At 43.1% G+C, this 22,711-nt stretch overlaps 1 protein-coding gene and 1 pseudogene across 6 annotated transcripts in view, besides 3 other annotated features; both read left to right on the top strand.

Annotated features, from left to right (window-relative positions):
• Nucleotides 1-22,711, top strand: part of GSN (gelsolin) — a 131,360-nt gene that overhangs the window by 640 nt on the left and 108,009 nt on the right. For 4 of the 6 annotated variants that reach the window (XM_047423273.1, XM_047423267.1, XM_047423268.1 and 1 more), the window contains exons 1-5: nt 19-299; nt 5,678-5,775; nt 7,174-7,275; nt 8,114-8,207; nt 8,662-8,745. The gene's annotated coding sequence lies outside the window, so the exon portion shown is untranslated. Of the gene's footprint in view, nt 1-18; nt 300-5,677; nt 5,776-7,173; nt 7,276-8,113; nt 8,208-8,661; nt 8,746-22,711 lie in introns of those variants that run through there. The other 2 variants (NM_001353054.1, NM_001353053.1) reach the window with 1 other exon arrangement.
• Nucleotides 169-328: an enhancer, noted in NCBI's record as "active region_28919". NCBI's record gives its function as "activates an Ori minimal core promoter by ATAC-STARR-seq in GM12878 lymphoblastoid cells {active_cell/tissue: GM12878}" and the evidence as "EXISTENCE:reporter gene assay evidence [ECO:0000049][PMID:35858748]".
• On the top strand, nt 1,050-1,313 carry RN7SL181P (RNA, 7SL, cytoplasmic 181, pseudogene; annotated as a pseudogene).
• Nucleotides 5,762-5,861: an enhancer, noted in NCBI's record as "active region_28920". NCBI's record gives its function as "activates an Ori minimal core promoter by ATAC-STARR-seq in GM12878 lymphoblastoid cells {active_cell/tissue: GM12878}" and the evidence as "EXISTENCE:reporter gene assay evidence [ECO:0000049][PMID:35858748]".
• Nucleotides 18,810-19,460: an enhancer, noted in NCBI's record as "OCT4-NANOG-H3K27ac-H3K4me1 hESC enhancer chr9:123983210-123983860 (GRCh37/hg19 assembly coordinates)". NCBI's record gives its function as "activates a minimal SCP1, AML or CMV promoter by ChIP-STARR-seq in naive H9 embryonic stem cells {active_cell/tissue: H9 hESC(naive)}" and the evidence as "EXISTENCE:reporter gene assay evidence [ECO:0000049][PMID:30033119]".

The following is a 22,711-nucleotide window of genomic DNA, read 5'->3' on the forward strand; positions in this document are numbered from 1 at the left end:
TTGGGGGAGCTACTGCGCAGGTCTGCGTGGAACCTGGTGGGGTGCGCCTGCGTCTTGGAGAACTAGGGTTGTCGCTCGTGGAGACTTTTGAACAATTTTTAAAGCCAACATTTACCACTTATTGGACGCTTACCGTATACTGGCCACCATGCTAAGCATGCATTTACTGCATTCATTCAACGTGTATTTATGGGGGCATTTACTGTATATACCGCTGTATGCTTCGTATATACCGGTCCTGTCCAACAAACGTCGGAGGCACGCATCCCCATTGTATCCATGGAGAAACTGAGGCTCAGGTTGGTCAACTCTCTTGTCCAAGATCACGCAGCTAGGAAGTGACCCTGCATTTCATCTCTATTTTGACTTCACTTTGGGGTTGCCTTTGACAGGGTGAGAGAAATGTGATATTTTTCACAATTTGTCTACCACCTGCCATCTTCCAACTTGCTCTGCCATAATCACTGCCCCAGAAGGTTTCGTGCTTTTCGGGTGCAGGGACACGTTTTGACTTTCTTGGACCCTGAGCACTTTTGCCTTGTGGCTTGTACATTACACACACACATATATTTCACACACATGTAAGTTAAATATATGTATAAATATTTAACATATTTTACAACTGCATTGATATAAACATGACGTATCAATATTATATAACAAAATATTTTCTCTGACCTGAAAGTTCATTTTTTTCTTCTGACTTTAAAAGAATGTAAGCCGGCCGGGCGCGGTGGCTCACGCCTGTAATCCCAGCACTTTGGGAGGCCACGACGGGCGGATCACGAGGTCAGGAGATCGAGACCATCTTGGCTAACACGGTGAAACCCCGTCTCTACTAAAAATACAAAAAAATTAGCCGGGCGTGGTGGCGGGCGCCTGTAGTCCCAGCTACTCGGGAGGCTGAGGCAAGAGAACGGCGTGAACCCGGGAGGCGGAGCTTGCAGTGAGCCGAGATCGCGCCACTGCGCTCCAGCCTGGGCAACAGAGCGAGACTGTCTCAAAAAAAAAAAAAAAAGGAACGTAAGCAAGGAGGGCTGGTAGTCTGCGCCTGTAATCCTAGCTACTGGGGAGGCTGAGGAGAGAGGATCGCTTGAGCCCAGGAGTTCTGGGCTGTAGTGCACTGTGTCACTAGATAGAGTGTCTGCACTTAAGTTCAGGAGGGAGGGACCACCCAGGTTGCCTAAGGAGGGATGAACCGGCCCAGGTCGGAGATGGAGCAGGTCAAAACTCCCGTGCTGATCAGTAATGGGATCATACCTGTGAACAGCCACTGCACTCCAGCCTGGGCAACATGGGGAGACCCTGTCTCTAAAATAAATAAATATTCATTTTTGTTGGCCCCTAAAAGTATTGGAGGCCCTAAGCCCTGTGCATACTGTACTGTGCCTAATGGATAAGGTGGCCCTGCCTTAGTTCCCCACCCCCAAATTAAATCAATCTTTCTCTTAGCGTTCAGGACCTTTTATGAACTGGTTCTGCCATGAACAAGTGAGATTTCACTGTAAAAGTGTGTGCCAGTTTGTACATCTCATATTTTCAGAGACCTGGGTTCGAATTCCTGCTCTATAATCTAATGGTATGCAGTTGTGCATGTCACTTGATTTCTGAGATTGTCAGTCTTTTCTGCAATATGAAAATAGTAATATCTCTCTCAAATAGGTCTTTGTGAAAATTAAATGGGATAGTATATGCAAAATATCTGGTATATAATAAGAAATGGAAATGATTATTACATGATAATCTAATCTAAGGTGATATTGAAATCCTTTTGCAACCCTAGAGGTCTAGGCTTCTATTTCCACATTCTTTAATAAGTATAGTTTGTTGTCACACTTTAACATTTTTGAAACTAAGAAATTTGCCTGTGCCAAGTAAAGGAGAAAACTGTGAACCAATGATCATTAATTGCCCAGGTATGAACTTAGACCTGGCTAGTAAGTTTCCTTATAGCCATTATCACCTGAAGGGAGATCTTTATGTATAGCTGATGTTTATTCAACACTTACTATGTACCAGCAACTGTCCTAAGAATCATGCATATTTTCTCATTTAATCCTTACCACATCCGCATGAAGTCAGTACTATATTTACCCCATTTTATGAATGAAAAAACTGAGTGTCATACAGATCTAAAGTCGTTTAGGTGAAAATTGGGTGGGACTTAAATCTGGCAACATGTGACCTCAGGGCTGTACTAAGCCCTATTCCATTTCCTCCCTTATTTGCTCTTGTTTCACAATAGCCAGCTTAAATGCAGGTCCCTAACTGCTGCTTTCCTATGTGAAAGACATTACACTTTGATGCAGCTTTGAACAGAAACACTCTTGTGGATGCAGAGTGCCTATCACATGCTAAGGAATGCAATTAAAAAACAGTAGGAATGGTCAATTCTTTTAATAAGTCCCAGAATTTTCAAAGTGAGGAGAGTGTATGTGACCAGTTGCAGCATAATTAAGAGGGACTGTCCATTGGGTGCCAAACATCCATTGGGGTTTCTACTTAACTTTTTTAAAAAGTTGTTTCTATAAGAAGAGATGTATACATGGAATAGTCACTGCAGCACTGTTTGTAATAACAAAAAACTAGAGACAAACTAAATGTCTATCACTAGAAAGCTGTAATAGTAAATTATAGTACATCTATATTGTGAAATACTATGCAGCCATCAAAAAGAATGAGGCCCATGTATATGTCCTGATATGGAACAATGTCTAGGAAATACTTGGAGGGAAAAAAGCAAGGTGCAGAAAACTAAATAGTATGCCAACATTTGTTAAACTATAAGAGGAGGGCAAAGAAGACATGTATGTTTATGTAACTAGACATTGAGAGGGGTTTATTCCATGTATACATCTCTTCCTATTGTCCTGGATCTGTTGCTGAAGCCCAAACTTGAAAATAAAAAGCCCACAAGGAGCTCACATTCTACACTGAAAAAACTGCCAGTGGCTGGGGCCAGCTACCTTCTAGCAGGGAATTTGAAGAGCAGTTGTTGAAGAAGTCAGCTCTTGACCAACTTCTACCTCCACTCCACTACTCCCTCACCTATTCCCCATTTCCAACCCCATCCCCACAGACACACCATCACCAGTAATCTGTGGAAAGAAAGATTGGAGACATGGGAGGGAAGTCAGCCTTTAGGGAAATTGTAATGTCATGGAAAGAGACGCCTTCTTTCTGTCCCCTCATGGAGACTGTGTCCTCATCTAGAACCAAAGGAGAGGGGCTCCAAAAGAATCACCAGTGAGGATTGGGTGTGCCTGCAGGAAGATGGGACTGACAACTCCCTGGATATCTATCTGTTTGGGCAGCACTGATCTGCTCTGCCCTATTGCTTCCTGCACAAAGGAGAACACAGATGGAGAGAGACAGCACTGGAGGGGCTTTGGATGGTGTGGGGAGAACCTTAGATGAAGAGGGGCTGAAGTTGCTTCCCCTTATCCCTTCCTCCCACCTTGACTTTCTAGTCCCAGATTGGAGTACGGCAAAGAAGTGTCCATCAGAGAGGAGTGTGGCATAATGACACAAGCTAACCATCTGCTGGAAGATATAGCAAATGTGTGAGGGGTCACCTGTTCCTGGGAAGATGCCTGGAATCCTCCAGGTGTGCAGGTTGTTTGTCACCTGCTCTGGCTTCATTTCTGCTTGTATTTTTATAAATTGTTTTGTAAAAAGTAGATGTTATTTTATCCTTCATCTCTTCCCAGAGCCTAAACAATTAAAGTCATTTTCAGATCTCTCTGTTGTGTTTATTTAAACAAAATTAATTCATCTCCTCATTATAGGCTTAATTTTATTTGTTCATTTTCCTCTTATGCTTGTGAATTTTGGTTCATAGGCTTATCTTGAATTGGAGATTCCCCCCTACCCCTATGCTTGAATCTTTTTTGTTTAGTGGTTTTGGAGTTGCCACCGAGCCACACTCAGACTTTAAAATACTGGTGTCCCAATTCCTGAAGCAGTATTGAAGATTTAGAAGAACTAATACAATTTGTACTCTAAATTTTATTACCACATGTGTGTTCTACCTAATTTAAAAAACGAATATATTTTAATGTAGTTGATTAACTTCCAGTGATACATAATTTAATTAAAAAGAAATGGTCAAAAAAGCTAGTTTAACCAAAAAAAGTTGAGATCAGGTGCGGTCATGGTGGTATGGCTGTCGACATTAACCAAAACAGAAACAGCAATTAATATACTTCAAAATTTAGTAGGTTGACAAAGAAATCAAAATCAAGGGCATGAGACTCATTCGTCTCTGGGTATGAAAAAGGATTAGATTCAACTTATCACACTAAAAAAAGGTGATGCATAAATGTAACAATAAGTACATTCTGTATTCAATTGTAAAAGAAATTGTGTGTCCATTGAAATAGTGCCCTTTCATCTCCCCATACACCTTATACCACCCCCTCCCAAAAAATATCCTCTCGTGTCACAGCTTATGAGGGCATGACATTAATGAGGTAAAAAGCAAGCTTGAAATTTTCCCAGGAAAGCACCCTACCGGAGACTCATTTATTGTCATTGAAGCATTCCTTTGGCTGACGACCAGAAGTTGGTGGTTTCGACTTAAGAGGCCATGTTACATGAAAAAAAAAAAAGAATGCATCTTTGAACTTTGTTTGTTTGTTTGTTTGTTTCGAGACTAAGTCTGGCTCTGTCACCCAGGCTGGAGTGCAGTGATCTTGGCTCACTGCAACCTCCACCTCCCAGGCGCAGGCCACCCTCCCACCTCAGCCTGGGACCACAGGCATGTGCCACCATGCTTGGTAAACATCTTTCAACTTTAGATTCACACTCAGTGGGGCATAATGACCACACCGTGAGATCCACATGGAAACTGAGACCTACTGAGAAAACATTTAACTCTTTCATTGCATGCTCACTCCAAGGCATGCACTTATTCAGAAAAAGGGAAGGGAGATTGATATCTAAATTATTTCTTTATTGCTTTTTCTGACTTTGTACATTTAGTTGAAATAATGCGAGTTAAAAGCATGTGTGATGTAACACAACTGAATTAAAGTGATGATGAAGGTGCTGTTGAGAACTGAGATTTTACTCTACTTGCAAGCTAACAAGCCAGCCTGCCAGTTTCATGGATACAGGCAGAAGATGTGAGACTTCTGAGTCAAAGACAGAGGTCTGTATTATTCACAGCACAGCAAGCAGCATGAGCATCAGCATATGTGCATCAGTTCTCTTTGTGCCAAAGACCCATGGGCAGTGATATGAAGGGGTACCAGCACACACAGTGGATTGTATTACAGAAGAACCCTGAGCTTAGGGAAATCACATATTTTATAATGGGAAGTAATTATATCTATTTTTGCTGTAGAGGGAAACACTATCTCTATCCTCCAAGCCTGCCCTACAAACATCCTTGAAAAGACAGTCTAGGACAAAGGGCAGTCAGTGCCTATGCTCACAAAATGTACAGAAACATGAGACCCATGGAAGGTCATCTCCCAACAGGGGCAGGATTTTTTGTATTGTAGAATATAGTACTGTATTTGGTGGAGGGAGTTAATGAGTAAATGGTATGCTATGGAGGAAAGTATATGGTTTTGAGACTCAAACTGACTTCAGTTTCATTTCCTGTGACCTTAGACAAATCACTTAACTTCTCTCTTTTTTTTTTTTCTTCCTGTCTCACTTGGTCACACAGGCTGGAGTGCAATGGCACGATATCAGCTCACTGAAGCCTCCACCTCCTGGGCTCAAGCACTCCTCCCACCTCAGCCCCCCAGGTAGCTGAGACTACAGGTACGTACCACCACATCTGGCTAATATGTGTGTGTGTGTGTGTGTGTGTGTGTGTGTGTGTGTATTTTTTGTAGAGACAGAGTTTCTTGATGTTGTCCAGATTGGTCTTGAACTCTTGAGCTCAAGGGATCCACCCACCTTGGCCTCCCAAAGTGCTGGGATTACAGGCATAAGCCACTGTGCCTGGCCCAAATCACTTAACTTCTCTGAGCCTCAACTATAAAATCAGATAATAGATTTTCCCCTCACCCATACACACACGGAATTGTTGTTCAGATTAACTGGGAAAGTGTAACTGAAAGTATGTGGTACAGTATCTAGAATATTCCACGCATTCAACAAATGCCTGGTCCTTCTCTTCTCTCCTACCTTTATTCACTGATTCCCTCATCCATGTGAATCAGGCACACACTTAGGTTCCTGCCAGAGCCCTGAACCCCTTCCCCAGTTGGAAAGCACTTCTTGAGTACCTGCTTAGAATACATGGGTTCAGATGCTGCAAACAAGAGACTAAAGAATGATAGTGGCTTTCACAAGATAGAAATGTATTCTTCCCGCACATGGAAGTCTGGGTAAGTAGTACAGAGGTGATATAGCAGCTTGAAGGCAGCAAGATGTAAGTTCCTCCTTGGTTATGGCACTGCCACCCCCAAATCATGCTTCTATATCATGGCTCAAAATACTTACTCCAGCTAACACCAGGAGAGGGGAGAAAAAGAAGTAGATAGCACATGCCTTCCTGTTAAGTGTATGACCCAGAAGTTGTACCTATTGCTTTTGCTGACATCCCATTGGTAGGTCACATGGTCACACCTAGCTGAAAGGGATGCAGAGAAATTTAGTCTTTGTTCTGGGGAGGATTATTACTAATGAGGGAAGAAAAGAATGGATACTGAGAAACAACCAGCTATTTTTGCCATACCATCCTTCATTGCCTAAAAGGGGGGCAGGTGTTAGAGCACCTTGAAGGTCCAGGGAGGCTGATGTTAAACCCTGAGGCCACCAAGGTGAGGACAGGGACCATCAGTGGACCATGAAATCTTTCCCACCAGTGCAGTTCCCTTAGGATGCCCATTTGGGGCTCTATGCAGGACTCTGAATAAATAGCATTCCTTTGCCTCGTCTGACTTCTGAACAAGTTGAGATATCAACAAAAAGATGCAGAGGAAGGCCAGAATATTTTCTTTATTAGTGATATTGCCAGGTTGGAGAAGAAACTTTTAGGGTTGGTAGCTGAAGGGTGCCACTAATAGTGAACCCCAGAAGTGGGCTGCAAAGACTAGGGCAGGCCTCCTGCTGAAGGGAGCAGGGCTGAGGAGCAGCTCCCTCCCTATCAGAAGAAGTGCTGAGTTGGGCATGACCAGGTATTCTCAAATGTACAATCCTTCATCCTTCCAGGAATGGATAAAGCACGGAGAGGAACCAAGAATGTGCTCAGAAAAAAATCCTTCCTCACTGAAACCAGGACTAAGGAAAGGAGATTCCCTTCTACCATCCATGGTGAGCAAAGAGTGGGGCTTGGAATTAGCAGCGGGGGGTGGGGAGGGGGGAAGAAATACCAGTGGAAGCAAGCATAATAGTGCCTACAAATACATGAGGGACCCAAACTGACAAGTCAGAAATCATCCAACACTGTAATTGGATTTCAGTCCCAGCCTTGCTTCTTAGTAGCTGTGTGGCTTTGGAAAGTTCCTTAAGGTCTCTAATTCTTCATTTCCTTGTCTCAAAAATCAGGAAACAGCAGCATTTAATACCTATGTGAATTATTAAGAGAAAATGAAGCAGAGCATGAGAAGCTCTTAGCATAGTGCCTGGTAGGGAATAAACACTCAGGAAACAGAAGCTGCTAGAATTATTTCCAAGAGCCAATACATAGCTCCTGAAAGCAGTTTCCCCAAGTAAGTTAGGAAAGAAGAAAACCTTTATCTGCTATCATAGAATTCAACAGAAATCAGAAAGTTTTCTTTAGAGTAATACAAATAATTGGAGAGAAGAGATGAAGAATGAGAAACAGGCCTCTCTGCATAGTATCTGGAACAATTTGGGCTAGGCCTTCACTTTCTCATATTCTTTGTGCCATGAACACACATACACGCACGCATACATGCACAATAGACCAGTCAAGATTCATCTAGAGGTGATATAATAAATCCCTACTCTCAGGAAAGGATATTGCCTTTATAGATATATTAGTTAGGAGAGGCTAGGTTTTACTGTGTAAGAAATGACTCCAAAATCTCAGCGGATTTAAACCTTATCACAAAGGTGTGCTTCTTGCCCACTCTCTATGTCCATAATGTGTCAACTACTTCCCTGTTCCACACCATCTTCACTTTAGGACTCAGGCTGACGGAGCACGCTGCCTGTCTGTGTCTCTCCGTTTCTCTCTCTGGAACGTTGTCAGATGTCACGGCGGAGGGAAAAGAGACCTGGTGAGTGACGTGCTAAGTCTTCAAGCTTCTGCTCCAAAGTAGCACACATCACTTATGCTCAAATTTTCTTAGCCAGAGCAAGTCTTATAGCCTCATATTGATAGAGTTGGGGTGCATAATTCTCCTTTGGGGAGGTGAATATAGCTGAATGTAACCCAGTCTACCACAGTGGACTCCCCAAGAGCCAGAGAGACAGCCACTGAGAGCTGCTAATATCTGGCTGATCTGGGGCCTTCTCTTTGCCTCAGTTTATCCTCTGTGAAATGGAGATACCAGCACCCGTCCTGTGAACCTTACAGAGAAGGGCTAGGAATGCACGTGGGATCACCGACATGCATGTGGTTTGGCAACTGTAAACTACCACACTTGCATGAGAGGGTTTCAATACCAGTATGAGTGCATTGGAAGGGATAAGAACACATTATAAAACATTTCACCCCTTCTCTGCCCACAGGAATGACTTGCCGAATTTTTAGCCCATAACCAGGCACTGTGTAAACCGCTTTACCTCATTCAGTCTTTGCAATTATACCACAAGGTAAGTAATGTTATTAACTCCACTCACAGATGTGGAAACAACTGAGTGTCCATTGAGGAATGAATGGATGACAAAATGTGATACATGCCACATTTGGGGATATTGTTGATAATAATGGGATGTTATTCAGCCTGAAAAAGGAAGGAAATTCTGACACATGCGACAACAAGGATGAACCATTATGCTAAGTGAATTTAGCCCGTCACAAAGAGACAAATAGTATAGGATTCCACTTATATGAAGTACATAGAATAGTCAAATACAGAGACACAGAAAATTGGAAGGTGGTTCCCCTGGGGGTAGAGGAATGGGGAGGTATTATTTAATGAGTACAGTTTCAGTTTGGGATGATGAAAAAGTTCTGAAGATGGATAGTGGTGGCGGTTATACAACAATGTGAATGTACTTAGTGCTATTAAATAGTACACTTAAAAGTGGCTAAAATGGTAAATTTTATATTATCTATATTTTACCACATAAAAAAGCATATGACAGCAAAAACAAACAAACAAACAAAGCTGAAAAAACCCACAAGTCTTAAAATGCCTTGAAACTTTGAGCAATTTGGCTCACACAACAGATCCTTTAGCCACTATGTAAGTAGGTGATGGCATTTTAGTAGCTGATACTGCTTATAAATACTTCCAGGTGTAAAAGTTGCTATTAATAATTAATTGGGGATCTGGCTGGGATAGGGGTAAGGTGGATAAAGCACTGAACTGGGAATGAGAGCTTGAGGTTAGGACTTAGCTGAAACCAGCGGTGTGACCTTGGCTGGGTAGCTTCCCCTCTCTGGGCCTCAATTTTCCTATCTGGAATGTAGAGAGGTTAGTTGATCTTTTCAGTTCAATTTTATTTTTCAGACCAAAGGACCACAGTCTTGCAGGGCAGTTCAAGTAGATGGGGCTCTATCTCCTCTTCCGTTCTCTCCCAATAACCACCTCCCCACCAAAAGAAAAAACCCATAGCAAAAAAATATATTTTTTGAAGGGCTTTATGAATTGGACTTCTGTTCAAAAACTTTAAAAACAGCTGGATAAGGGAATCTCTGAGGGCTCTGATACTCTGTATTTGCTTACTGGTGAAGCTGTGAGATTAAGGAGAGGCCGCTGGGTTAACCATGCATTCATTCATCAATGACTAATGATTGAGCTCAAACCTGGGCTCCTGTCTCCTCCTGTCCACTGAAGCCCTTCAGTGACCACCTTCCCGTTTTTCTGTAGAGTCCCTTATATGGGCCGATGGGGAAGAGACTATGGATGCCTTTTAACTGAGCCCTCATAATGCGATAAAAAAACATAACAAAACAGATATCCCAGCAGCTATACAAGCAAGCGTTTTCAGAGCTCACACTGGAAACCAGACTCTCTAATCCTTATCAGTTGTTTCTCCAAGATTTAAATTCCAACTCTGCAGTTTATTAGCTCTGAGACTTGGGCAAGCATCTTAATCTCTCTGGGCCTCAGTTTCCTCATCTGTAAAATAGGTATGGTGGTCCCTAGTTTATTGGATTGTCGTGAAGGTTATAAATGTGTGTAAAATCCCACTTCACCGTAGCCCTCTATCATTTCCCACCCTCTTCTCTCCCTGCCAGGGAGTCAGTGCCCTCCTGGAGGAGGCTTACAATACAGCCTTCAAGGTTGACTCTGGGCATTGCTTCAGTACAGATTAGAAATTATTTTAGAATCCCCAGAGCATGGTATCTGCGACAAATTAAGCTAGACATAATTTTAAAGCATTTTTTATGTTTGAAAGTCTTTTGGTCTCACTCCTTGGCCTTTTTTTTTTTTTTCTGAGATGGAGTCTTGCTCTGTTGCCCAGGATGGAGTGCAGTGGTGTGATCTCTACTCACTGCAACCTCCTACTCCCTGATTCAAGCAATTCTCCTGCCTCAGACTCCCGAGCAGCTGGGACTACAGGTGCGCACCACCACGCCTGGCTAATTTTTGTATATTTTTTTTAGTAGAGTAGGGGTTTCGCCATGTTGGCCAGGCTGGTCTCAAACTTCTGACCTCAAGTAATCCACCCACCTCGGCCTCCCAAAGTGCTGGGATCACAGGCATGAGCCACTGCACCTGGCTCTTGCTCTTGACAAAGATCTTTTTCCCGTCCAGAGATTGGAGGGAAAGCTAAGGAGAAAAGGCAGCGTGAAGGAAGGAGAATTTCTTCCTGCCCATATATTTATTTTGAATTTTACAGGTTTAATGTCTGCCTTTCCTCACCCTGAGCTGAGTGGGAAAGGTACCATTTCTGGTGGGTTCACTGCTCGATACCCGGCCTAAGTATCTACAAGTTATAAAATCAGAAACAAAATATAATTAGTCTCATCAATAAATAAACCCAGGGCAGCTGGGCTTCACGGAGGAGTGACAAATGGCTCCAAGCAGTCTACATTTTAGGACAATAGCTGGGGTCACTGGCTTCCAAAAACTATGGGGAAAACCACTTCCGGCTTCCTGTATCCCTTCGTCTATTCTGGTATCAAAACGACAAATCCAGAGGAGCCGAATCAGGCGTGCTCCACCAGAGGGCGCAGCAGGCCCATGCCAGGCCCTCTTGACTGCCAGAACTCCCAGCCTGTGGCTACTGCTCCCATTTGTGTTGCTCAGGCACACCTGGTTTGGCAGCATTGTTTCCTCAGTCTCTTTGTTAGTTCCTCTGTTTTTCCAAGCCAGAAGAAAGTGAAGAAGTTTGCAGTCAGGTGGGCTTGGATTAAAATCCTGACTCTGCCGTCAGCTGAGATCTTGGCAAATTAGCATTGTGAGCTGTTGTATTAATATTAATTGGTGACTTCTTCCCAAGGCTGGGGAATCACAAAATCATAGACTCTTGGCACAAGAAGGGGCCTTTGAGATCAGCCCTTAGAGCCCCCACATGTCATGGATGGGGACACTGAGGCTCAGGCTAGACCAGAGCCCAAGTCTCTCAGCACATGGGCTGGGGTCCTCTCAGCTACACCCAGCTGCCTTCTTTCCAAAATCCATAAAACGATAAAGAGCATTCATCAATGAATGAATGAATGAAAAGATTAAAAGCCCTTTCAACCGACGAGCTCGTACCTTCTTTTAGAGCAAGGACTTTAGATCCAGACAAAAGCACAGACTGCTGTATCCCTCATCCAGCTTCAGCAATTACTTGACCTGTTCAGTCTCAGTCTCCTTATCTGAATGGTGCAGGGCATACTATGGGGATCATAAAAGCACCTACCTCACAGGGTTTCGTGAAGATTCAACGAGTGCATGCCTAAAATGCCAGCTCAGGCACCTAGAAGGCATTGAGAAAATGCTAGTTCTTTTTTTCTCCCTTCTCTCCTCCTCCTTTCTTTCCTTCCTTCCTTCCTTCCTTCCTCTTCTTCTTTCTTCCTTCTTTCTCCTTCCTTCTCTCTCTTTCCTTCTTTTTCTCTCTTTCTCTCCTCCTCCTTCTTCCTCTTCCTCTTCTTCTTCCTCTTCTTCCTTTTCTTCTTCTTCCATAAGCCAGAAACCAAAGGGTAGATGTTAGTTCTACATTTTAAAATCTAGGTTCCATAATCTTTCTGAGTCTCAGTGTTCTTGTCTATAAAGTGGAGAATTTTCAAAGCATTGTGGGAGGATTACATGGCACAACATATATAATAAAACCCACAAAACAAGGCCTGGTTCATGGTAGTGTACAAAATATATTAATAATAAATACTAGTTTATCCTCTTTCATGAAGTAAGGAATGACTGTTTCTAAGAACAAAGAGGGATAAGCCTGCATTCCTACCAATTCCAAAGACTTAGCAGATAGCATTCCCAGGAACACATCATTTCTCCTGAGTTATCCTATGTCATATTCCTACGGAGCTCTTGTCCAAGGTCTCACGAGCTAACCCAGTTTGAGACCCCAGGAGCTACTGCATTAGTTAAGTTCTTATCTTTTCTCTTCTGGACCTCTGTTGTAGCATCTATGCCTTAGATGGATGAGCGATGCCATCTGGCTGGAGATGTACCTCCTGGAAGTACCTTACTGGGCTGCAGCCACTGGTTAGGTCGGAATATAGGCTCCTTGTTGTATGAGCTTCCTAGGGCTGCTATAATAAAAGTACCATGAACTGGGTGGCTTGCAATAACAAAAATGTGTTCTCTCACAGTTCTGGAGGCTGGAAGTCCAAAATCAAGGTGTCAGCACAGCTGTGCTCCCTCTGAGACTGAGTAAATCCTTCCTTGCCCTTGCCCAACTTCTGGTGGTAGCCGGCAATCCTTGTTGTTCTTGGATTCTGGCTGCATCACTCCAGGCTGTACCTGTCATTGTCATATGGCTGTCTTCTCCCTGTGTTTGTATCTCTTCTCCTCTTCTTCTAAGGGCACCAGTCATATTGAATTAAGGACCCCCCCCCCCACACTCATATATGACCCATCTTAATTTCCATCTAAGTTGCATTTGCAAAGACCTCATTTCCAAAAAAGATCAGATTCAAAGGTACCAGGGGTTAGAATTTCAACATATCATTTTTTTTTCTTTTTGTGGGGCGACACAATTCAACCCGTAACATTGGTTAAAAGATCTCTAAAACACCTGAAAATTGGCCGGATTGGTGGCTCACACTTATAATCCCAGCACTTTGGGAGGCCGAGGTGGGTGGATCACCTGAGGTCAGGAGTTCGAGACCAGCCTGGCCAACATGGTAAAACCCCATCTCTACTAAAAATACCAAAATTAGCCAGGTGTGGCGGCGAGTGCCTATAATCCCAGCTACTTGAGAGGCTGAGGCAGAAGAATTGCTTGAACTCAGGAGGCAGAGGTTGCAGTGAGCCAAGATCGCGCCACTGCACTCCAGCCTGAGTGACAGAGTAAGACTCTGTTTCAAAAAAAAAAAAACCTGAAGATTTTAAGAGCTCTCCAATTTACTAATATTTATAATGTACATGTAAATCAACCAATAGAATTAACATGGTTATGTTAATTTATTGGAAAATTAATTATAATGTTTATGATTAGAAATTATATTACAAGCCATATATTTCAAGTATCATATAAATTATAATTATACCTATAATTGTTTGTAATTTATTAACTGTTAGAATAGTTAATTAATTTTGAAAAAAATAGCTGGGTGAGTGAAACAAAACATTTCTGTGGACTGAAAGGCTCTTAGGCCATCACTTTTCTTATTTATTTATTTATTTATTATTTTTTTCAGCTCACTGTAGCCTCTGCCTCCCGGGTTCTAACGATTCTCCTGCTTAAGCCTCCCAAGTAGCTGGGCTTGCCAGCAGGCCTGGCTAATTTTTGTATTTTTAGTAGAGACGGGTTTTTGCCATGTTGGCCAGACTGGTCTCAAACTCCTGACTTCAGGTGATCCACCTGCCTCAGCCTCCCAAAGTTCTGGAATTACAGACGTGAGCCACTGCACCCGGCCCATCACTTTTCAACTCCTGCCTCATGGACCATCAGAGTGATCATTCTACAAAGCAAATCCAACTATGTCACTCCCATGCTTAGTAACCCTCCATGATGGCCAACAGCTATCAAGAACAGCTGACAAATGAAACTGCCAACAACTACCTCCAGCTACGTCTCCACCACTTCCTGAAGCCTGTACTCAGGGAAAACATTGCTGCTTTAATCTGACACAGGACAGACATTCACTGGCCAAGACTTTGCTTGCTATATTTCCCCCAGAAACAGTCCCTAACTCTCCTACCTGCCTGCTTTTCTCTGTTTCTTATCCTTCATGGCCCAGCTCAAAAGCCACTTCCTCTGTGATGCCTGCCAGGCCTTGTAATATCCTCCTACCCCCAGGTTCCGTAGTACCTTGCTTCTGTATTTTGCAGGACTTCTCCCTGTTTTCTTGGTATTATAGTGAGATTATTCTATTACCCACTTCTCCCACTAGGCTAGGAGTTCCTGGAAGACAGGAATTTTACCTTGGTCATTGTATTAGTTTGCTAGGACTGCCGTAACAAATAGTACAGGCTCAGTGGCTTAAACAACAGAAAATTATTTTATTCTGGAGGCTACAAGTCCAAGATCAAGATGTCCAAGCGTTGCATTCTTCTGAGGGTTGGTTTCTTCCTTGGCTTGTGGATGACTGTCTTCTTCCTGTGTCTTCACATGGTCTTCCCTCTGTTTGTGTCTGCATCCTAATTTCCTCTTCTTTTTTTAGTTCTGGGTTTTGTCTTCCACTTTATTTAGATTTTTAAAGTATTTTTCTAACTTAAGGAGATTTCTTTTTTAAAATTCAACTTTGGCTGGGCACATTGGCTCACGCCTATAATCCCAGCACTTTGTGAGGCCAAGGCGGGTGGATCACAAGGTCAGGGTGGATCACGAGACCAGCCTGGCCAACATGGTGAAACCCTGTTTCTACTAAAAATACAAAAAAAAATTAGCTGGGTGTGGTGGTGGGCACCTGTAATCCCAGCTACTCAGGAGGCTGAGGCAGGAGAATCATTTGAACCTGGGAGGCGGAGATTGCAGTGAGCCAAGATCGCACCATTGCACTCCAGCCTGGGCAACAGGGCAAAACTCCGTCTCAAAAAAAAAAAAAATAACTTTTATTTTAAGTTCAGGAGTACCTGTGCAGATTTGTTACAGAAGCAAACTTCTGTCCTGGGGGTTTGTTGTACAGATTATTTTGTCACCCAGGTATTAAGCCTAGTACCCATTAGTTCTTTTTCCTGAGCCACTCCCTCCTCCCAACCTAAACCCTCCAATAGGCCCCTAATCTCCTTTTCTTATAAAGATACCATTCATATTGGATTAGGGCCCACCCTAGTGACCTCATTTTAATTTAATTACCTCATTAAAGACCCTGTCTCTAAATACAGTCACATTCTGAGGTACTGGGGGTTAGGACTTCAATTCAATTGGGATGTGGCTGAGTGGCACAATTCAGCCCACAACAGCCATTTCTTTAAATTTTTTAAATTTAATTAAATTTTTAAATATTTCAAATAATATAGAAATGTATTATTATTATTATTATTATTATTATTATTATTATTATAACCTCAAACAAAACAAGCCCTCCTTTCTCTGCTCTTTTCTACCCAACCGTTAATACTGCTACCAGGTCTGTTTCAAGCTTTTGCGTATATAAGGGTACATACATAAAGATATAACTTTGGTGTGTGTTTTCTCTTTTACATAAGTACGATCAAATTGTCCATATTGTTTTGCATATCCTGATCTTATTCATTCTTTTTATGTATGTGTCCAGTCTACCTCATGCCCTGACTCACAGTTTAGCTATGACTAAGCATGTTCAGAACATTTGTTGAGCTCTTAAGAAGGGTGGTCATGGAGTATAGGTCTGCTATGAATTGTCTGGCAGTCATTTAATATTGTATTATATTTTAGGTCTGTCAACCTGAAATAAACAGCAGAGAGACCAGTTCTCCAAAACAAAGAGTTTATTTGAGAATAACAGGGAATTGCGATTTTGGGTGCACATGCTGTGGTGGACCACAGGTGCACCAAAGGGGATGGGGCAAGAGGAAGCTTTTAAGAGAAAGGACGAGAGGCCAGGCTCGGTGGCTCATGCCTGTAATCCCAGTGCTTTGGGAGGCTGAGGCAGGTGGATCACTGGAGGTCAGGGGTTCAAGACCAGCCTGGCCAATATGGCAAAACCCTGTAACTACTAAAAATACAAAAATGAACCAGGCATCATGACGTGTACCCATAATTGCAGCTACTCAGGAGGCTGAGTCACGAGAATCACTTGAACTCGGGAGGCGGAGGTTGCAGTAAGCCGATAACGCACCACTGCACTCCAGCCTAGGTAACAGAGTGAGTCTCTGTCTCAAAAAAAATAAAGAAAGGAGGAAACGTACATGTAAGCTAATTTGAAAAAAAGACCATTGGTTACAGGAGCTTGTTGCAGGAGTTGGCATTAGCTTATTGGTGGAGACAGCCACTGTTGGACAAATGTCCCTGTGCAAGCCAGGTGGCTTATGTGGAATTTCTTGGATAGTTTCTGTTGTAGGCATACATGCATGAGGACCCTTCCTTCATGGCCTCCCCTCTCCATTTTGTGAGAGTTTAGCCTAAGTGACTCCATTTTGGTACTGGCAACTTTCACAAGTTTCATTTTTCTTGTATGTAAAATGGAGGACAATAATATTCATCTCCCAGGGTCCTGAAATGATCTGGTATTTGGAGGTTACCCTACCAGTTTTGTCCAAGCATCCATCCTGCATGACACCTGAAGTCCAATATCTTTATTCAGTTTCACTTCCTTGATGTTTCTCAGAGTCCTGAGGATGCTTCCTTGATGGACAGATCCACCTGGTGGGGGCCAACTCCTCTGGCCGGGCAGTTCTGCCAGGGCTCTGTGTCTGCTGCTGCTGCGCTTGCTGCTTCTCTTTACCCGGTCTCCTGACTCAGTTCCCCAAAACACACCAAATACCAGAAGGTTCAAGTTAGGGGATTTTTTTTTTTTTTTTTTAAATAGAGACTAGTCTCACCATGTTGCCCAGGCTGGTCTTGAACTCCTAGGCTCAAGTGATCCTCCTGCCTTGGCTTCCCAAGGTGTGGGATTACAGAGGGGAGCCACAGCACACCACCAAGTTAAGGGATTTTTACCAAAGCCTTCCTGATAGCATTGAGACAGGAATGATACAGCGTTGACACAGGAGAACAGCACATTCCAGGCAGCAGTTTTATATGACTAGCAAAAGGGAACTGTTTAAACAGCTGCAGAAGCTAGGGGCTGAGAAGACCCTGAAAAACCAGGGTGTGGGTCAAGCTGGCTAAGACCAACTAGACCCAACATGGCGCTGGATTTGACTTAGGTCTCACCTAGGACCTCATTATATGCTCATTAACATAGTCAATCACACACCCACCAGTGCCAGGACAGATCCTGGAACACCCATATTTGGTGTAAAAATGAGTGGCACCAGATTTCTGAGAAATCTTCACATTTTTCCAGGAATCTTCATGAATATTCCCCCTCTTGGTTAAAGAAACTCATGTAGATGGAAACTGCAAACCCGGTTGCATGACTGTCTCTCTCTTAAGTATACCTACACTCCCCTTTCTTTTTTCTTTTCTTTTTTTTTTTTTGAGACGAAGTTTTGCTCTTTGTTGCCCAGGCTGGAGTGCAATGGCGCGATCTCAGCTCACCGCAATCTCCGCCTCCCAGGTTCAAGTGATTCTCCTGCCTCAGCTTCCCGAGTAGCTGGGATTACAGGCATGCGCCACTGCGCCTGGCTAATTTTTAGTATTTTTAGTAGAGATGGGGTTTCTCCATGTTGGTCAGGCTGGTCTCAAACTCCTGACCCCAGGTGATCCGCCCACCTCAGCCTCCCAAAGTGCTGGGATTACAGGCGTGAGCCACTGCACCCGGCCCACACTGCCTTTTCTTGAGTGTGTACTTTTTGTCTTGCAATAACTCTCCAAACTTTCACTATTTTCTGATTTGTCATTGAATTCCTTCCCGCAGTGGCGTCAAAAGCCTGGACACCAGCCGGGGCCGAGGTCCTGCAGGTATTTGGGGAACTCCCCTAGCCCACTGATATCTGCATCATTAGTATTCTTACTATTCTCACCTCTCAGAGATCACAGTAGGTGAAGCTCTTCCCATACTTTCTGTCACTGTGTACCCCAGAAGCCGAGGGGGTAGGTTCTGTTAACACATCCATTTTGCAGGTGAAGAATCAGAGGCTCAGACAGGTTGAGGAACTTTGCCACGGTCACTCAGCCAATGGGTGGGAGAGCAAGGTCCCGTCCAAAGCATTTTCCAAGGTTTGGCTAGAATCAGTGGTGGAACCACAGCTAATTTCAGCTGTTTCACACAAACACATTAGGTAACTAAACCACCTAGTGAGATAGTTATTCTATTTTCAATTATTTTCCCTTCCTTTTGATTAAATCAAGGAAATTTTCCAGTTGTTTCTAATATGCCAGTAAAAGTTCTCTAATGCAATTCCAATCTCCCTTTCTAACAAAGACAGAACAGGCAACCGTATCTAGCCAGAACTTAATCGCGTTGTTTTGTTTTCCTTGTATTTATTTTTATGGAAATGAAGTTGATTTTCTATTGATGTAGCAATAGAAATTTTCTTTAAAAATATCAATTGTTAAAAGTGAATAGATGTACAGAAAAATATTAAGTAAACAATGGTGTGATTCGTTTGTTGAAATGTCAAAAATTGTGAGATCTGGGGCCTCAGGCTTGGGAACAGTGTACGTAATAAAGAGGAACTTAAGCCTGGATGGCAGACTCCATCTCCTGCTCTCTTCAGCGCCGAGGGGCCGCCTCTCTCACTCATTCTGGCAGAGACCCCGAGGAGGGGCGCCTCGGCCCAGTCCGAGAAAAGCCAGTTAACATCACAAACTCAACCTTTCCATGATGCCACTTTATTGTCCGAAACTTCTCCATTTCAAGGGGATTTCCATCTCCCTTTACATAACAAAAGTCCCCTGACCATGTTCTTCCCAAAATAAAAAAAAGAGCAGCCAGTTTTTCCTTCAGATGCAATTAAATGGCAGCCTGCTTTGCAAGGGCAGTTTATTGAAGGCCTGGTCTTCATTAGGTCTTAAGAGCAGCCCCAATTCCCAGCCCAGCCCCCAGAAGGAGAGAGGTAAACTCCTCCCTGCTCTAAGTGAAGACTTTCTACAGTGCAGCTTTGATGGTCCCCTCTCCTGTTCTAGCGTGCCATGTTTCTCTGGGACATGTTTCTCTCCTTGGCTTGGCATTCAAGGCCCTTCACAATCAGCCCAATACGGAGAGGTAAAAGAGCATTAGGCCAGAACTCTGGACATCAGGGTTCGAGTGCTAGAGTGACCCCAATTTGCTGTGTGCCCTCTGCCGGTTCCCTCCCCTCTTCAGGCCTGTTTTCCCATTCATAGAAAGAAGAGATGGGATTAGGTGGGTCTCTTCCAGGGCTGACATTCTCTGGGCCACAGCGAGAGTCTGAGCTAGTTGACCAGCACATAGTCAAAGAGGCTGAGCTAGCCAGAGCTGAGGCCCAGCTCTCAGGCTTGACCACCTCAACCTGGCCACTAAGATGACTTTGATGCTCTGCCACTTTCAATTGATTTTATGCCTAAGTGCGTTATGTCAGAAAAAACAGGTCTGCTGGGAAATAAGCTGGCCTGCCCTGCTTCTTAAGGGGTCTCCTTAGATAAATAACCAAGCCCTACAGAGTGAGGAAGCTGCTCACATCTGACCCCTCAACACTCTCTCCTCCCATCCCAAAGGACTGGTTCCAGCAGGAAAGTCTCCTGTTCTGTCTTTTAAAAGGGAGAATAGGTGGGTTTTTTTTTAAGTTGCTATAAAACAGATGCCCAGTATACAAATGTTTGGATCATATGAAATGTATAAAGAAGAGAGTAACAGGCAACTGAAATGTTTTCCACCTACCTCTGCCATGATATCCTTTGTAAACATTTTTGTGTTCATTCTTTCAAGTTTTCTCTAAGAAATAGAAAGACAAACATCTTTTTAATGAAGATAGGATCATACTAGAAATAGTTATAATTTTTAAAAGGTAAAATCATGACTCTTAAAGAAATATAAAATGAGTGCTTGTCAAAGATTTTATTTTACTCGATTATTAATGAAATAATATATTAAAGCCAGTTCAAAGGAGAATCTGATTAACAGACAAGTATATATAGGCAATCAAGAATGCAGAAATAAATTTGATAGATGAAAAATTGGTTATTATTTTTAGGGTAATAAAATGCGATGTTTGGAATTGTCTCTGTACATTTATTTATTGTACATTTATGGGACAAAATTTGCATTTCCATGGGCAAGGATAATTTGCATTACAATTACCTCTAGGGGGCGTATCTGAGTCTCACAGCACCAACGTATGTTAGCAGTGGTGAATCCATATGGATCTGCATCAACCTCAATTCCTGCCTCCTCAGGAGAAAGAATTTTTCTGAGGTGTTTAAGGCAGAGTAAGAGACTGAGGCAAATTTTAGAGCAGGAGTAAAAGTTTATTAAAATTTTCTAGAGCAGGAACCAAAGGAAGTAAAAAGCTACACTTGGAAGAGAGCCAAGTGGGTAACGTGAGAGAGTCCAGTGTGTGGTTTGACCTTGGACTTGGGGGGGGGTCTTACACATTGGCATGCTGGCAGGGTTGCGTTACTGTTCCCCTGATTCTTCCCTTTGGGTGCGTTGTCTGCATGCACAGTGGTCTGCCAGCACTTGAGAGGGGCGCATGTGCAGTGTGTTTACTGAAGTTGTGCACATGCTCACTTGAGGCATTTTTTTCCCTTACCAGTCCGGCGTTCCTACAGGAGGGACATATAGCCGTTACACTCCGCCATTTTGCCTCTGAGTGCGCATGCTTGAGCCCACTTGCCCAATTCCTGAGATCTTGTCAGGAAGCTACTAATCACCGGTTTCAGGTGTTTTCTATTGGGAAACTGCCTTTCCCTAGCCCTGGCTTTGACCAATTCTCATTTTAGAGAGATAGTATAATAACCACCTGATGATCACCTAACATTCCGAGTGAGAGGGGTCCCTCTCCTGCCCTGCTCATGTCTGACTAACTACCTACTGTAACATTACTATTACTTTTCTAGAACTCATAGACTTGTGAAATAGCCTAGTCAGAGACAGGGAAAGACCCCTATAGAATCAGGTAACCCCCAAAGGATCTAGACAACACAGAGTATGCCATTAAAAGGACACCTGATAAACGTTCACAATTTGTCACCAAAGTATATATCATGGTTACAATAGCTAGCTAATATTTGGGGAATGCTTACTCCGGGAGTGTCAGGCACTGTTTTAAGTACTTTATATAAGTATTATGTCACTTTTTATAAGTATTATTTTACTTATAACGTACTTTATAAGTATATTATTATTATTATTATTTTGAGACAGAGTCTCACTCTGTTGTCTAGGCTGGAGTGCGGTGGCACAATCTCAGCTCGCTGCAAACCCTGCCTTCTGGGTTCAAGCGATTCTCGTGCCTCAGCCTCCCGAGTAGCTGGGATTACAGGCGTGTGCCACCACGCCGGCTAAATTTTGTATTTTTAGTAGAGACGGAGTTTTGCCATGTTGCTGAGGCTGGTCTTAAACTCTTGGGCTCAAGTAATCCACCCGCCTCGGCCTCCCAAAGTGCTGGAATTACAAGCATGACCAACCGTGCCCAGCCTGAGATTTTTTTGTTTTTGTTTTTTAAGAGAATTTCCCTACATCTTTGCCAATAATAAGTAATATCAATCTTTTCAGTATTTGCCAGTCTGATAGGTTAAAAAAAAGGTATATCGGTGTTATTTGAATATACATTTATTTATTTATTTATTTTTTAGAGACGGAGTCTTGCTTTGTCGCCCAGGCTGGAGTGCAGTGGTGCGATCTTGGCTCACTGCAACCTCCGCCTCCCATGTTCACGCCATTCTCCTGCCTCAGCCTCCCGAGTAGCTGGGACTACAGGCGCCCGTCACCACGCCCGGCTAATTTTTTAAAAAATTTTTAGTAGAGACGGGGTTTTACTGTGTTAGCCAGGATGGTCTCGATCTCTTGACCTTGTGATCTGCCTGCCTCGGCCTCCCAAAGTGCTGGGATTACAGGCGTGAGCCACCGCGCCCGGTCTATACATTTATTTTTATCACAAGAATTCAAGGGTTATGCAAAGATAATTATCAGTGCCAGAGATTACTTTGTTCCTCTTCCTCTCTCCCTAGTGGTAGAGCTATAAACTCAAAGTAAGGTACAAAAAGAGATCCATCTAAGGCCATCCTGCAGGTTAGGGGCAGAACTAGGATTCTCTCCAGGGTTTCTGGCTTCTTCCTGAAATAGAGCCTTTCCTGTGGACTTTCCTGCCACCAATGTTGCTTTTAGTCTGAATACCAGTGGGAATGACTGGGGACCCATCAGTAGTAAACTCGTCCTTCAGTTGGTCAATCAATAGAGATATGATTAGCTAGGCTACCTGAAAAAAAAAAAAAAAAGAAAAGAAAACTGAATTTGTATGTATCACTAATGGGCCAAACACTTAAAATAATAAATAAATAAATAAATAAATTT

This window comes from Homo sapiens, chromosome 9 (assembly GCF_000001405.40).
Source record: "Homo sapiens chromosome 9, GRCh38.p14 Primary Assembly".
Classification (NCBI taxonomy): Eukaryota; Metazoa; Chordata; class Mammalia; order Primates; family Hominidae; genus Homo; species Homo sapiens.